Source organism: Homo sapiens, chromosome 2, assembly GCF_000001405.40.
Source record: "Homo sapiens chromosome 2, GRCh38.p14 Primary Assembly".
Taxonomy (NCBI): Eukaryota; Metazoa; Chordata; class Mammalia; order Primates; family Hominidae; genus Homo; species Homo sapiens.
The window spans coordinates 97,935,287-97,952,171 of record NC_000002.12 but is presented as its reverse complement, the minus strand read 5'-3'; the positions used below and the strand labels follow the sequence as shown (position 1 = coordinate 97,952,171).

The following is a 16,885-nucleotide window of genomic DNA, read 5'->3' as shown; positions in this document are numbered from 1 at the left end:
TTTTTTTTTTTTTTGGAGATGGAGTCTCGCTCTGTCACCCAGGCTGGAGTGCAGTGGCGTGATCTTGGCTCACTGCACCCTCCGCCTCCCGGGTTCAAGCGATTCTCCTGCCTCAGTCTCCCAAGTAGCTGGGATTACAGGCGTGCGCCACCACACCTGGCTAATTTTTGTATTTTTAGTAGAGATGGGGTTTCACCATGTTGGTCAGGCTGGTCTTGAACTCCTGATCTCGTGATCTGCCCGCCTTGGCCTCCCATAATGCTGGGATTACAGGTGTGAGCCACTGCGCCTGGCCGAAATTGAACACTTCTTTAGATCTGTCTTCAAGTTCACTGATCCTGTATGGTATTAAAGGACTCTAAAAGGTGGAAAGCGGGTGGACTGGCTAGGGGACGTTAGGACTTGAAACACACTGGACTGGAGTAATTTCCATGCATGTGTGTTGGGGCGGTGTGGTGTGTATGCGTGTTTGTGTTTTTCCCCCGTGTATCCCAGACTGGAGTGGAGTACAACTTGAAATTGCCAACAGGCATAAACAGCAACAAAAACAAAAAACAGAAAACCCTGTCCTCTCTGGCCAAAGGATCAGGAAAAGGGAAGCCCAGGAGGGACTTGCCAATGAGACATTTTACCCAGTGGCAGTAGCAGGCCTAGTCTGCCCACAACAGTGGCCCAGCAGAGATAGAGTGAGAAGCTTACCAGTGAGGTGACTGTAGAACAAGCCACGGGAAATGCTCTTATTCACCCCTCAGGTCTGGCAGTCCCCTACCCACTGGCCTAATCATACTGTGCAGCCTGAGGATGTGCCTTCCACCCCGCTGTGTGGCACCAGAAGCTATCCAGTGGGAGCTCCAGCAGAGCTAGAAGAATGAAGCAGACACATATTACCATCACAGGGGCTTACAAAACTCAATTGTCTTTGGAACTACAGACTACAAAAGTAGACCAGAACCTACACACCAAACCTAACTGACTCCATGTTTTTCTAACTTCCTTAAATCCTTATTTTCACTTAAAGGGATTTTTTTTTTCCTGTTACAATATGTCTGGTTGTGCTGAATGTGAGTCTGCACCATCAGTGAACTGTTGACTTATTCTGCTCTCTGCTTCTGTTCTCTGGTTCTATCATTTTAACTTTAAAATGTGCAACTCTGGTAAATCCCTAAAATTAACAGTGCATGTGTTCTGTAGGAAATGAGTTCCTCTTGGTTTGTTGGCTATTTCCAGCTTATTGTACTTTCTTTACTGCAAATTTAGGCTATTAAAAGGATATTAGTACCTGGAAACTAAGCTCGTTTTCCTCCTTTTAATCCTTATTGGCTAAAATATTAGTCATCTTTGGTTACAAGTTGATGGCTGAGCAGTTTTTCATTCCACAGTGTTGAGAAACTAGACTGGAATCTTGAGCTGATAAACCAGAATGCAGATGTGGTAGATATTGGAGTCTTGGAATCAGCAGACCCATGCCCTAGTTCTGGCTCTGAACTCATTCAACTTCTACATGATTTCTGAGAAACCCGTAATTAAAAAAAAAAAATTATTTCTAAGTCAGTGATGTTAACTGCTCTCCCAGTCTGTTGCTGCCTGAAGGGGAATATCCGGTAAAGAGACCCTGTCCTGATGCTCTTTGCCACAGAGTGTAGAGCTGCTAGCAGGGGGAGAAGCAAGTGTAGGGACATTAGGATCATGGCATACTGGAGAGAGGACTAGGGCTACAGAAGCCACAAGGACAGTCAGGGAGAGGAAAGGTGGAATGTCCATGAAACACAGCACTGCTATCTTCAAACTTTGACTGTTTTTAAATTGAAACATAGCTTATAATCAGTAGAGCACACACATCTTAGGTACGTAGCTTTTTAAATCTTTATATATGTATGTATTTGATTATAGTTAATGATTTTAACTATCATACAGACGAAAATGTAGACTATAAAGCCTTGCGAACACTTTTCATGGGGAAATACTTTTTTCCATTCACTGCTTTAATGAAGTGGTTAAATATTGGCTTGATAAGGTATCTATATGTATAGATGTATTTTTATTTTTTGTCTTGTGCTGAAATTTTGGATATTCTGTAAGAAAGACACGTAATGAGATTGGTAGCCATCATCCTCACAAAACATAGTGATGTGTTTCTCAGAAGGAGGATTTAGTAATGATAGGCCTTTGGGTTTGCAGGTACAAGAAATAAGGCAAGGAAAATGGTTGCAATTTTGGAGTAAGGCCTTCATGTAGTTGATGTGAGATGATGATTTGGAATCCTTCAGAAGCTATTGTATAAAAGTAACCAAAAGAAGCAAGCCCTGTGTGGGGTGTAAAAATAAATACTGACTTTTTTTTTTTTTTTTTTTTTTGAGACAGTCTCACTCTGTCGCCCAGGCTGGAGTGCGGTGGCATGGTCTCGGCTCACTGCAAGCGCTGCCTCCCAGGTTCATGCCATTCTTCTGCCTCACCCTCCCGAGTAGCTGGGATTACAGGTGCCCGCCACCACGCCCAGCTAATTTTTTTGTATTTTTTTTTTCAGTAGAGACGAGGTTTCACCATGTTAGCCAGGATGGCTCGATCTCCTGACCTTGTGATCCACCCGCCTCGGCCTCCCAAAGTGCTGGGATTACAGGCGTGAGCCACCACGCCTGGCCTTGACTTTTAATAAACAGATTTATTGAGGTATAATTAATGTACAATAAACTGCACACATTTAAAGTGTACAGTTTGAGTTATGGCCCATGTGAAACTATTACCATAGTGAAGATTGTGTGAACGTGTGCACTCTCTATTTCCTTGTGACCCTTTGTAGAATTTTCTTACCTCCCTTCCTAATCCCAGGCGACAGTTCTTCTGCTTTCTGTCACTTAGATTAGTTTGCATATTATACAACTTTGTATAAGCAGAATCATACAGTATTTACTCTTCTGTTGTCTCCCTTCTTTCACTCAGCATGATTATTTTTAGATTTGTCTGTAATGTTGCATGTTTGACTGTTTTAGTACTGCATAGTATTCCACTGTGTTGCTGTATCACAATTTGTTTATCCACCCACCCGTTGATGGGAATGTGAGTTGTTTCCTCTTTTGAACTATTACAAATAAAGCTTCCCTAAATATTCATGTACAAGTCTTTCATTTTCATTCACACATACGTTTCATTTCAGTTGGGCAAATACCTAGAAATGGAATGTCTGGTGGGTTATGTGTTCAACTTTTTCAGAAACTACTGGCCTGGCACGGTGGCTCACGCCTGTAATCCCAGCACTTTGGGAGGCCGAGACGGGCAGATCACGAGGTCAGGAGATCGAGACCATCCTGGCTAACATGGTGAAACCCCATCTCTACTAAAAATACAAAAAATTAGCCGGGCGTGGTGGCGGGTGCCTGTAGTCCCAGCTACTTAGGAGGCTGAGGCAGGAGAATGGCTTGGACCTGGAAGGCGGAGCTTGCAGTGAGCCGAGATCACACCACTGCACTCCAGCCTGGGCGACAGCGCGAGGCTCCGTCTCAAAAAAAATAAATAAAAAAAAAAGAAACTACTGACATGTTATCCAAAGTGGTTGCACCATTTTATATTCCCGTTAGCAGGGTATTACAGTTCCACTTCCTGCACATCCTTGCCAACACCTGATATGGTAAGAAGTTTTCATCTTAATCATTTTATTGGTTATGTAGTGGTGTCTCCTGGTGTTTTAATTTTTATTTTCCTAATGACTAAGGATTTTGAGCATCTTTTCATGTGCCCTCTTATTTCATGTGCTATTCATGTTGTCTTTGCTTAAATGTCTGTTCACATCTTTTTTGCATTTTTTTAAATTGAGCTGTTTGTTTTCTTATTTAGTTGTAACAGTTATTTACATATTCTGGATACAAGTCCTTTGTCAGATAAGCATTTTGCAAATATTATTTCCAGTCTGTGGCTTGTATTTTTACTTTTGTAACAGTGTCTTTTGAGGAGTAAAAGCTAAAAAAAAAATTTTTAATCCACCTCTCAATTCATCTTTTTTTCTTTTATAGTTCAAGATTTTTTTCTTTTTTGTATCCTACTTAAGAATATCTTTGCCAAACTCAAGATCACTAAAATTTTCCCGTGTTGATTTCTAGGAACTTTAGAATTTTAGCTCTTACATAAATTCTGTTATTCATTTCAAGTTGATTTTTGTAAATTTTGGAGCATCCAGATTCTCTTTTGTTTTTCTTTCCCATGTGGCTATTCATTTGTACCAGCATGACTTATTGAAAAGATTACTTTTCCCCAATTGAATTGCCTTGGCACCCTGTTGCAATCAGTTGACCATATATGTGGGGGTCTACTTTTGGAGTCTCTGTTCTATTTCACACATCTGTTATCTGTGTCAGTTTTATACCATCTTGATTACTATGATTTTAAGTCTTAAATCAGGCAATGTTGAGTCCTCCAATCTTGTTCTTCTTTTTCAAAATTCTTTTTACTATTTTGGGTCCTTTGCTTTTCTGTATAACTTTTAGAATCATCTTGTAAATTTTTACAACAAAAAACTTGATTGGAATTGTATTGACTGTCTAGATCAATTTGGGGAAAATTGCTGTAACAATATTGGTTCTTTTGATGCATGAACATGGTATATCTTTCTTTTTATTTAGGTGTTCTTTAATTTCTTCCAGCTGTATTTTGTCAAATATTTATCTTAGTATTTTGATGCAATTGTAAATGGTTTTGATTTTTATTTTCCAGTTGTTCCTTGCTGTTATTAGAAATATGATTGATTTTTATATGTTGGCCTTGCATTTTCCTACTTTCCTAATCTTACTACTTTCCTATATCCTGTATCACCTGTAAAAATTGTACCAGAATCAAAAAAATTCTAGTAGAATTTTTATAGGTGTTATAGGAGATATCATGTCTGTGTCTAAAGACAGTTTTATTTTCTCTTTTCCAGTCTACATACTTTTTTTTTCTTTGCGTTTTATTGGCACGAAGATTGCCCTCTTACCTTCATTTATTCTTTCACTATGATGTTAAATAGGAGTGGTGAGAAGGAACAATCTTACCTTGTTCTAATCTTAAATGGAAAGTATTTAGTCTTTCACCATTAAGTATGATGATAGCTGTATATCTTTTGTACATGTCTTTTATCAGCTTAAGGAAGTTCTTTTTGTGCCCATTTTGCCAAGATCTTTTACCATGAATGGATGATGAATTTTGTCCAATGTTTTTTGTCTGTTTTTTGAAATGATTAATTTTGTTTTTTAAGTCTTATATGTTGAAGTTTTTTTTTTGAATATTTAAACAGTATTTCATTCCTGGGATAAATCCCACTTGGTCATGATGTTTTTATCTTTTTTATACATTAATGGATTACATTTGCTGAAATTTTGACAAGAATTTTTGCATCTGTAATAAGATGTGAAATTGGTCTGTAGTTTTTTTGTTTTAATACCCTTATTTGTTTTGGGGATCAGAGTGATGCTGGCTTTGTAAAATGAGTTTGGAGAGTTTCTCCTGTTTCTGGGAGAGTTTGCGTATGATTTTTTTTTTCCCCTTAAATATTTGGGAGAACTCATCGTTAAATACATCTAATCCTGGAGTTATCTTTGTGAGAAGATTTTAACTACAAAATAAGTTTCTTAAGTACATATAAGCCTATTCAAGTTAGCTAGTTTTTTGTGAGTGACCTTTGGTATTTTGAGTCTTTGAAGGAATTTGTCCGTATCATAAACTGAGAGTTGTTAATTATATTTGCTGATTAGTCTTCTAATGTTTATAGAAAGTATAGTCGTATTCAGTCTCTCATTTCTTATGTTCACAATACCTGGCTTCTCTTTTTTCAAACTGACTAGCTAGATGTTTATCAATTTTGTTAATCTTCCCAAACAGAAAACTTTTGTTTCCTTCGATTTTTCTCTATTTTCTGCTTTCTACTTTATTGATTTATATTCTTTATTATTTCTTTTCTTTTTTTATTAAAAAACAAGATATGGATTACTTATCTAATATTTAGAATGTGATCTTATAGATTATATATGAGTATGCAATATAGATAACTGTATGGATATACCATATTTCCAATCATAAATATTATATTACAAGATGTAATGCAAGATAAAATCCCTGCACAATAGCTGTGTTGGCATAAGCATCATTTTAACTGAGTGTTTTAAGATGGTTGTAATACCACTGAGTGTTTTAAGATGGCTATAATACCACTGTAGTCACAGACATGTCAGCAGCATGTTCTTGGCACATTTAATCTGTGGCTACAGTAAGGATACCAACCTCCTCTGTAATCAGTATTTCCAACTTAGCATAATTTAAGTGAATTTACAATTGCTTGATGTATATCTTTTTAAAAGAGTGAATGTGTTCAAACGTTGAGATTTTTAGAAGTCTTACAGTAGTGGTTTTCTTTTTTCAAATTTTTGGCATATATTCAAACTTTCAGAAAATTTTTAAGAATGAAAATAGTCAAAAACATTCATATTCTTTACCCAGATTCACCTGCTGTTGACAGTTTGACCCATTTGCTTTATCATTTGCTGTTTTCTCCTCCCCGTGCACAATCTAATGAATGAATTTGTATCCATGAAAGAACTATAAGCTTAAAGCTCTTGAGCAGAGATTACATTTTGTCCTCTGGTTACACAATATTTAAAATACCATTTAGATAAACATTTTAGAAAAGATTTAGGGAATAGAACACAAAAGCATGCTTTTTGCTGTTGTTGACTTTTAAAATATTGAGATACAATTTCTCATATCATACTTCACCTTTTAAAGTGTATAATTCAGTGGGTTTTTGAAGTATACTCATAGACTTGTACAACCATCACAACTGTCTCATTCCAAAATATTTCCATCACCCCAAAAGAAATCCTTTATACAATAGGAGTCACACCCTATTCCTTCCCAGCCCCTGACAACTGCTAATCTAGGTTCTTTTTGCCTATTCTGGACGTTTCCTATAAATGGAATACTAAAATATATGGCCTTTTGTATCTGGCTGCTTTCACTTAGCATTAGTCCTCAAGATTCATCTGTGAGCTTTGTGTCAGTACTTCATTCCTTTTTGTTGTGGCTGAAAAATACTCCATTAAATGGATTTACCACATTTTGTTAACTGCTCATTAGTCAGTGGACATTTAGGTTGTTTTCATTTTTGACTATCATGAATTTGAACAATGCTATTATGAACACTGGTATATAAGTTTTTGTTTGCACAAGTATTTTCGGTTTTCTTATGTATATACATAAGAGTATAATTGGTATATTGTATGGTAACTTTATATTTAGTTTTTTTAATAACTACCCAACTGTTTTCCAGTGTGGCTGCTCCATTTTATGTTACCACCAGCGACTTAGGCGTTTTCGATGTCTCCACATCCTCATCAATGCTTATTGTTGTCTTTTTTATTACAGCCATCCTTTTGTTTTTGAAGCAGTATGTTGTTTTGCTTTTGATTAACATCTGTCTAAGGACTGGTTTTGAGCGTCTTTTCGTGTATGTATGTATTATTGTCCGTTTATGTATCTTTGGAGAAATGTCTAGTCAGTTTCCTTGTCCATTTTTTGATTGGGAGGTTTGTCTTTTATTCATTGCAAGAGTTCTTTTTATATTCTCTGTATGTATCTCTTATCAGATACATCATTTGCAGAAATTTTCTCCCATCCTGTGGGTTGTCTTTTCACTTTATTGATAGTGCCCTTTGAAGCACAAACTGTTTTAATTTTGATAAAGTCTAATTTATCTGTGTTGTCTTTGCTTACCTATTCTAGTTAAGAAACCATTGCCTCATCAGAGGTTATGAAGATTTACATCTATGTTATCTTCAAAAGTTTTATAGCTTTATCTCTTACACTGAGGTCTTTGTTCCTTCTGGATTTAATTTTTGCATATGTTGTTAGGCAGGGTCCGTCCTCATTCTTTTCCAAGCAGATACCTAGTTATTCCAGTGCCAGTTGTTGAGAAGATTGTTCTTTTCTCCTCTGAGTTATCTTGGCATTCATCAATTGAGTGCCGAAATCAATTGGCCATAAATGCGAGGGTTTGTTTCTGGACTGTCAGTTCTATTCTGTTTGATCTATTTGATTAGGTTTATCTTTTATTTATTTATTTATTTTTATTTTTAGTCTGAGTCTTGCTCTGTCGCCAGGCTGGAGTGCAGTGGCGCAATCTTGGCTCACTGCCACCTCTGCCTCCCAGGTTCAAGCAATTCTCCTGCCTCAGCCTCCCAGGTAGCTGCGACTACAGGCGCGCACCACCATGCCCAGCTAATTTTTGTATTTTTAGTAGAGATGGGGTTTCAGCATGTTGGCCAGGATGGTCTTGATCTCTTGACCTCATGATCTGCCTGCCTCGGCCTCCCAAAGTGCTGGAATTACAGACGTGAGCCACTGTGCCCAACCTTGATAAGGTTTATCTTTATTCCAGTACTGTTCTGTCTTGATTAATATACCTTTGTAGTTAAGTTTTGAAATCGGGAAGTTTTGAGTCCTCCATTGTGTCTTTCTTTTTCAAAACTGTTTTGGCTATTCTTGAATATTCTTATGAACTTCAGGAGCCACTTGTCGATTTGCAAAAGAGCAAGGTGAGATTTTGACAAGATTGCGTTGGATCTGAATATTACCATTTTAACATTATTAAGTATTCTAGCTTATGAATACCAGATATCTTTCTATTTAGGTCTTTTAAAATTTTTTTCAGTGATGCTTTGTAGTTCACAGTGTACAAGTCTTGTACTTGTTCGAGATGTATAATCCTTTGTATATGTTTCTAGATATGATTTGCTTGTATTTTGTTGAGAATTTTTATATCCACATTCATAAGAACATCTGTAGTTTTCTTTTCTTGTGATGACCGTGTCTGATTTATGTATCAGGGTATGAATTGCTTCATATAATAATTTGGAACGTGATGTTTTCTCTTGAGTTTTAAAATTTTTGTTACTTAAATTTTTTTAGAGACAGGGTCTTGCCTTGTTGCCCAGGCTGGAATGCAGTGGTACAGTCATAGCTCGCTGTCACTTCAGACTTCTGGGTTTAAGCAATCTTTCTGCCTCAGCCTCCTGAGTAGTGGGAATACAGGCATGCACCACCACACCCAGCTCTTTCTTTCTTTCTTTCTTTCTTTCTTTCTTTCTTTCTTTCTTTCTTTCTTTCTTTCTTTCTTTTCTTTTCTTTTCTTTTCTTTTCTTTTCTTTCTTTTCTTTCTTTTCTTTCTTTTCTTTCTTTCTTTCTTTCTTTTTTTTTGTAGCCATGGTATGTTGCTATGTTGCCCAGGCTGGTGTTGAACTCCTAGGCTCAAATGATCCTTCAGCCTCAGCCTCCTAAAGTGCTGGGATTACAGCCGTTCCCCATGCCCAGCCTGTTTTTTGTCCTTCTTTATGCTTTTTAAAAAAAGCTTGTGAAGGATATGTTTTAATTCTTCTTTAAATGTTTAGTAGAATTCATCAGTGAAGCCACCTGTCCCTAGGCTATTCTTTGCGGGGAAACTTTGATGGCTAATTAGGTTTGTTAAGATTTTCTGTTTATTTTGGAGTTAATTTCAATAATTTGTGCTTTCTAGTTATTTGTTCATTTCATGTAGGCTGTCTAATTTGTTTGTGTATAGTTGTTTCTTGTGTTCTCTTTTAATCCCTTTTACTGTAAGATTGGAAAGTTCATTTCTTTTTGTAGCATTAGTAATGCTCCCTGTTTCTTTCTTTTCTTTTTTTTTGTATTTTTTTTTTTTAAATTATACTTTAAGTTCTAGGGTACATGTGCACAACGTGCAGGTTTGTTACATATGTATACATGTGCCATGTTGGTGTGTTGTACCCGTTAACTCGTCATTTACATTAGGTATTTCTCCTAATGCTATCCCTCCCCCCTCCCCCCACCCCATTGACAGGACCCGGTGTGTGATGTTCCCCACCCTGTGTCCAAGTGTTCTCATTGTTCAGTTCCCACCTATGAATGAGAACATGTGGTGTTTGGTTTTCTGTCCTTGTGATAGTTTGCTCAGAACGATGGTTTCCAGCTTCATCCATGTCCCTACAAAGGACATGAACTCATCCTTTTTAATGGCTGCATAGTATTCCATGGTGTATATGTGCCACATTTTCTTAATCCAGTCTATCACTGATGGACATTTGGGTTGGTTCCAAGTCTTTGCTCTTGTGAATAGTGCCACAATAAACATATGTGTGCATGTGTCTTTATAGCAGCATGATTTATAATCCTTTGGGTATATACCCGGTAATGGGATGGCTGGGTCAAATGGTATTTCTAGTTCTGGATCCTTGAGGAATCGCCCCACTGTCTTCCACAATGGTTGAACTAGTTTACAGTCCCACCAACAGTGTGGAAGTGTTCCTATTTCTCCACATCCTCTCCAGCACCTATTGTTTCCTGACTTTTGAATAATCACCATTCTAACTGGTGTGAGATGGTATTGCATTGTGGTTTTGATTTGCATTTCTCTGATGGCCAGTGATGATGAGTATTTTTTCATGTATCTGTTGGCTGCATAAGTGTCTTCTTTTGAGAAGTGCCTGTTCATATCCTTCGCCCACTTTTTGATGGGGTTGTTTGATTTTTCCTTGTAAATTCGTTTAAGTTCTTTGTCGATTCTGGATATTAGCCCTTTGTCAGATAGGTAGATGGTAAAAATTTTCTCCCATTCTGTAGGTTGCCTGTTCACTCTGATGGTAGTTTCTTTTGCTGTGCAGAAGCTCTTTCATTTAATTAGATCCCATCTGTCAATTTTGGCTTTTGTTGCCATTGCTTTTGGTGTTTTAGTCATGAAGTCGTTGCCCATGCCTATGTCCTGAATGGTATTGCCTAGGTTTTCTTCTAGGGTTTTTATGGTTTTAGGTCTAACATGTAAGTCTTTAATCCATCTTGAATTAATTTTTGTATAAGGTGTAAGGAAGGGATCCAGTTTCAGCTTTCTACATATGGCTAGCCAGTTTTCCCAGCACCATTTATTAAATAGGGAATCCTTTCCCCATTTCTTGTTTTTGTCAGGTTTGTCAAAGATCAGATGGTTGTAGATGTGTTGTATTATTTCTGAGGGCTCTGTTCTGTTTCATTGATCTATATCTCTGTTTTGGTACCAGTACCATGCTGTTTTGGTTACTGTAGCCTTGTAGTATAGTTTGAAGTCAGGTAGTGTGATGCCTCCAGCTTTGTTCTTTTGGCTTAGGATTGTCTTGGCAATGTGGGTTCTTTTTTGGTTCCATATGAACTTTAAAGTAGTATTTTCCAATCCTGTGAAGAAAGTCATTGGTAGCTTGATGGGGATGGCATTGAATCTGTAAATTACTTTGGGCAGTATGGCCATTTTCATGATACTGATTCTTCCTATCCATGAGCATGGAATGTTCTTCCATTTGTTTTTGTCTTTTTTTTTTTTTTTTGAGATGGAGTCTGGCTCTGTCGCCCAGGCTGGAGTGCAGTGCCACGATCTTGGCTCACTGCAAGCTCCGCCTCCTAGGTTCACGCAATTCTCCTGCCTCAGCCTCCCAAGTAGCTGGTACTAACAGGCGCCTGCCACCACACCCGGCTAAGTTTTTGTATTTTTAGTAGAGACGGGGTTTCACCACGTTAGCCAGGATAGTCTCGATCTCCTGACCTCGTGATCCGCCCGTCTTGGCCTCCCAAAGTGCTGGGATTACAGGTGTGAGCCACCACGCCAGGCCGTTTGTGTCCTCTTTTATTTCACTGAGCAGTGGTTTGTAGTTCTCCTTGAAGAGGTCCTTCACATCCCTTGTAAGTTGGATTTCTAGGTATTTTATTCTCTTTGAAGCAATAGTGAATGGGAGTTCACTCATGATTTGGCTCTCTGTCTCTTATTGGTGTATAGGAGTGCTTGTGATTTTTGCACATTGATTTTGTATCCTGAGACTTTGCTGAAGTTGCTTATCAGCTTGAGATTTGGGGCTGAGATGATGGGGTTTTCTAAATACACAATCATGTCATCTGCAAACAGGGACAATTTGACTTCCTCTTTTCCTAATTGAATACCCCTTTATTTCTTTCTCCTGCCTGATTGCTTGGCCAGAACTTCCAACACTATGTAGAATAGGAGTGGTGAGAGAGGGCATCCCTGTCTTGTGCCAGTTTTCAAAGGGAATGCTTCCAATTTTTGTCTATTCGGTATGATACTGGCTGTGGGTTTGTCATAAATGGCTCTTATTATTTTGAGATATGTCCCATCAATACCTAGTTTATTGAGAGTTTTTAGCATGAAGGGATGTTGAATTTTGTCAAAGGCCTTTTCTGCATCTATTGAGATAGTCATGTAGTTTTTGTCTTTGGTTCTGTTTATATGATGGATTACGTTTATTGATTTGCGTATGTTGAACCAGCCTTACATCTCAGGGATGAAGCCAACTTGATCTTCGTGGATAAGCTTTTTGATGTGCTACTGGATTCAGTTTGCCAGTATTTTATTGAAGATTTTGCATCGATGTTCATCAGGGATATTGGTCTAAAATTCTTTTTTTCCTGTGTCTCTGCCAGGCTTTGGTATTAGGATGTTGCTGGCCTCATAAGATGAGTTAGGGAGGATTCCCTCTTTTTCTGTTGATTGCAATAGTTTCAGAAGGAATGGTACCAGCTCCTCTTTATACCTCTGGTAGAATTCGGCTGTGAATCTGTCTGGTCCTGGACTTCTTTTGGTTTGTAGGCTATTAATTATTGCCTCAGTTTCAGAGCCTGTTATTGGTCTATTCAGGGATTCAACTTCTTTCTGGTTTAGTCTTGGGAGGGAGTATGTGTCCAGGAATTTATCCATTTCTTCTAGATTTTCTAGTTTATTTGCATAGAGGTGTTTATAGTATTCTCTGATGGTAGTTTATTTCTGTGGGATCGGTGGTGATATCTCCTTTATCATTTTTTATTGCGTCTATTTGATTCTTCTCTTTTCTTCTTTATTAGTCTTGCTAGAGGTCTATCAATTTTGTTGATCTTTTCAAAAAACCAGCTCCTGGATTCATTGATTTTTTGAAGGGTTTTTTTTGTCTGTATCTCCTTCAGTTCTGCTCTGATCTTAGTTATTTCTTGCCTTCTGCTAGCTTTTGAATGTGTTTGCTCTTGCTTTTCTAGTTCTTTTAATTGTGATGTTAGTGTGTCAATTTTAGATCTTTCCTGCTTTCTCTTGTGGGCATTTGGTGGTATAAATTTCCCTCTACACACTGCTTTAAATGTGTCCCAGAGATTCTGGTATGTTGTGTCTTTGTTCTCATTGGTTTCAAAGAACATCTTTATTTCTGCCTTCATTTCGTTATGTACCCAGTAGTCATTCAGGAGCAGGTTGTTCAGTTTCCATGTAGTTGAGCGGTTTTGAGTGAGTTTCTTAATCCTGAGTTCTAGTTTGATTGCACCATGGTCTGAGAGACAGTTTGTTATAATTTCTATTCTTTTACATTTGCCGAGGAGTGCTTTACTTCCAACTATGTGGTCAATTTTGGAATAAGTGCGATGTGGTGCTGAGAAGAACATATATTCTGTTGATTTGGGGTGGAGAGTTCTGTAGATGTCTATTAGGTCTGCTTGGTGCAGACCTGAGTTCAATTCCTGGATATCCTTGTTAACTTTCTGTCTCATTGATCTGTCTAATGTTGACAGTGGGGTGTTGAAGTCTCCCATTATTATTGTGTGGGAGTCTAAGTCTCTTTGTAGGTGTCTAAGGGCTTGTTTTGTGAATCTGGGTGCTCCTGTATTGGTGCATATATATTTAGGATAGTTAGTTCTTCTTGTTGAATTGATCCCTTTACCATTATGTAATGGCCTTCTTTGTCTCTTTTGATTTTTGTTGGTTTAAAGTCTGTTTTATCAGAGACTAGGATTGCAACCCCTGCTTTTTTTTGATTTCCATTTGCTTGGCAGATTTTCCTCCACCCCTTTATTTTGAGCCTATGTGTGTCTCTGCAGGTGAGATGGGTTTCCTGAATACAGCACACTGATGGGTCTTGACTCTTTATCCAATTTGCCAGTCTGTGTCTTTTAATTGGAGCATTTAGCTCATTTACATTTAAGGTTAATATTGTTATATGTGAATTTGATCCTGTCATTATGATGTTAGCTGGTTATTTTGCTCGTTAGTTGATACAGTTTCTTCCTAGCCTTGATGGTCTTTACAATTTGGCATGATTTTGCAGGTGGCTGGTACCGGTTGTTCCTTTCCATGTTTAGTGCTTCTTTCAGGAGCTCTTGTAAGGCAGGCCTGGTGGTGACAGAATCTCTCAGTATTTGTTTGTCTGTAAAGGATTTTATTTCTCTTTCACTTACGAAGTTTAGTTTGGGTGGATATGAAATTCTGGGTTGAAAATTCTTTTAAGAATGTTGAATATTGGCCCCCACTCTCTTCTGGCTTGCAGAGTTTCTGCAGAGAGATCCGCTGTTAGTCTGATGACCTTCTCTCTAGTTGTTCTACCCATGTTTGAAAGTGGGATATTGAATTCTCCAAATATTTTTATTGAATTTCTTCTTTATCCCTTCATCCTGCATGTTTTTATTTCCTGTGTTTTGGAGCTCTCTTGTTAGGTTCACGTATGTTTATAATTATGTCATCTTAATGGAGTGATCCCTTTATTATTATTAAATGTCTTTTTTCCTCTTGTAGCAATTTTTATCTTAAAGTCTGAATTTTTAAAATTTATTTTTTAATAGTTGCTGTGAGAATTACAATTAACATCAACTTGTAATAGTTTAGTTTGGACTAATGTCACCTATTCTTCAAATATTCTTCATGCCTTTTTTTCTCTCCTCTTCTGAGACTCCTGTTGTACAGATGGTGTTTTGTAGTCACTCAGGCTCTTTTCATTTTTCTTCATTTTTATTTCTGTTTCCCAGACTGGATAATCTTAACCAACCTATTTTTGAGTTTGCTGATTCTTTCCTTTGCCTGCCAAAATATGCTATTGAGCCCCTCTGATGAATTATTTTAGTTATTGTACTTTTATGTCCAGAATTTCAATTTGCTTGTTTTTTCCAGTTTCTTTCTCTTTATTGATATTTTCTGTTTGGTGAAGCGTTGTTCTCATACTTTAGTTTTGCACGTGGTTTCCTTTTTTCCTTTGAACATATTTAAAATAGCTTATTTAAAGTCTTCTAGTAAGTCCTGTCCTCAGGGACCATTACTGTTGATTGCATTTTTTCCTATGTATGAGCCATACTTTCTTGTTTCTTTAAATTTATTTGAAAACTGGGCAGTGGGAGGGGCTCATTTCAGTTACTGTGCTTTTCTATTTGGTTATTTTAATAATTTCTTTCTCTTCTTAATATTCTCCATTTGGTGTGACTTTTAGTTCTTTGGACATTATTTCCTTTAGTTCTTTGAATATATTTAATATAGCTGAATTAAATTATTCAGTAATTCTAAAACCTGGGCTTTCTCAAGGGCAGTTTCTATTAAATACTTTTTGTCCCTTTATACTTTTTTGTTTCTTTGTATGTCTCTCAATTTTTTGTTGAAAACTGGACAACTAACATATAAGGTGGCAACTCTGGAAATTAGATTTTCCCCTCCCTAAGGTTTGTTGTTGTTTTTGTTGCTGTTTGTTTAGTGGCTTTCTGAACAAGTTATTTTAAATCTATATTATTTGTGGTGCATGGCTACTGAAGTCTCCGTGTGGTGAGCTTCATAGTCATCTAATGATTGAACAGAGATTTCCTTAAAAACCTGGAACCAGTAATTCTCCCCATCTTTGTTGAGAGGCCTGTGTATTTGCGTACATATGTGTGTGTTGGGGCACATCAAAACACTCAGCCGGGCAGTTGACAGCTGTTCCTTAGCCTTCCCCTCCTGTTTACACAAAGCCTGGGGTCAGCCCCAGGTGTGAGAGCTTAGGGATGTCTCAGGTTTCTTCTGAGCACAGGCAGAGCCAGAGCCCGATGCGTACACAGGACCTTCTAGATTGGCAGGAAGGTGTCAACACTTTTTACAGCCCCTGTGGACATCTTATTCCCAACTTTTCCTTTTAAACTTTTGGGTCTGCTTATTGTTTGGCCCAACTGTCATCTACCACATTGTTCTGCAGCCAAATTTTTAAAAATTTCCCCTAAAGGTTTTTGACAACTGTTACCAGGGTCGAGGCTTTTCACAGTGGGAAAGCTCTGAGTCAGGTCAAATAAAAGTAGCCTTCCAGGTGGGGCCTCACTGGGACTCACCACACAGATCAGATAAAGACAGTTCTCTGGAAATCAGGCTTTCGAGGAGCTGCAGCATTGTTCTGCCACCCTTATTGCCTGTCAGGCTGCTGATTTTCACTGTGATTGGGCTGTTGGTTATAGTGCTGTCACAGAGCTGGAGAGAAGAGAATGAGAATAGAAAAGTTAAATGCCACATATTTCACTGTTCTTGTTGAGATTCAGCTTTTTAAAAATGTATTAACATTCCATGGATTGCTGCAAGCTTTTGGAGATTGCTGCAAGCTTTTGGTTAATTGCCAGAGTTCTTAGAAAGTTTATTCTGATGCTGCCAATTTTCTTGTTCTTGTTAGAATTTTCAAATGTCCCTAACTTTGCCATTTTCACTGACAGTACCTCTGTTGCTTTTTTTTCTTCTTCTGTGCTATTTTGTTTCTTCAAACTATTCTCAACTTTTGCTGTCAAAACCAGTTGATTGAATTAACATTGATAATGGCATGTAGGTCCTGAAATTAAATTTCATTATCTTAATATTATAAATATTAACCCATTTAAGAATCACTATTACAAAAACATTTTGAAGATAAACTATTGAGCAGGTAGAACTAATTACCAGAATTTATCATTAGCTATTTCATTTTTTAATACAGATTCTTATTGAGATCATTTTAGAATCATACACTGTTATAAGAAGTTATACAGAGAGATCCTGTGTAGCCTGTACCTGGTTCCTCCCAATGGCAATATCTTGACAAAGAATACTACAAAGTCACAACCAGGATGTTGA

The 16,885-nt window shown here is 37.5% G+C and overlaps 1 protein-coding gene across 7 annotated transcripts in view, besides 1 other annotated feature; it reads left to right on the top strand.

The window, feature by feature from the left end:
- TMEM131 (transmembrane protein 131) overlaps nt 1-16,885 on the top strand; it is a 239,613-nt gene that overhangs the window by 43,777 nt on the left and 178,951 nt on the right. The gene's annotated exons all lie outside the window — the stretch shown is intronic.
- Nucleotides 15,515-16,016: an enhancer, noted in NCBI's record as "OCT4-NANOG hESC enhancer chr2:98552619-98553120 (GRCh37/hg19 assembly coordinates)". NCBI's record gives its function as "activates a minimal SCP1, AML or CMV promoter by ChIP-STARR-seq in primed H9 embryonic stem cells {active_cell/tissue: H9 hESC(primed)}" and the evidence as "EXISTENCE:reporter gene assay evidence [ECO:0000049][PMID:30033119]".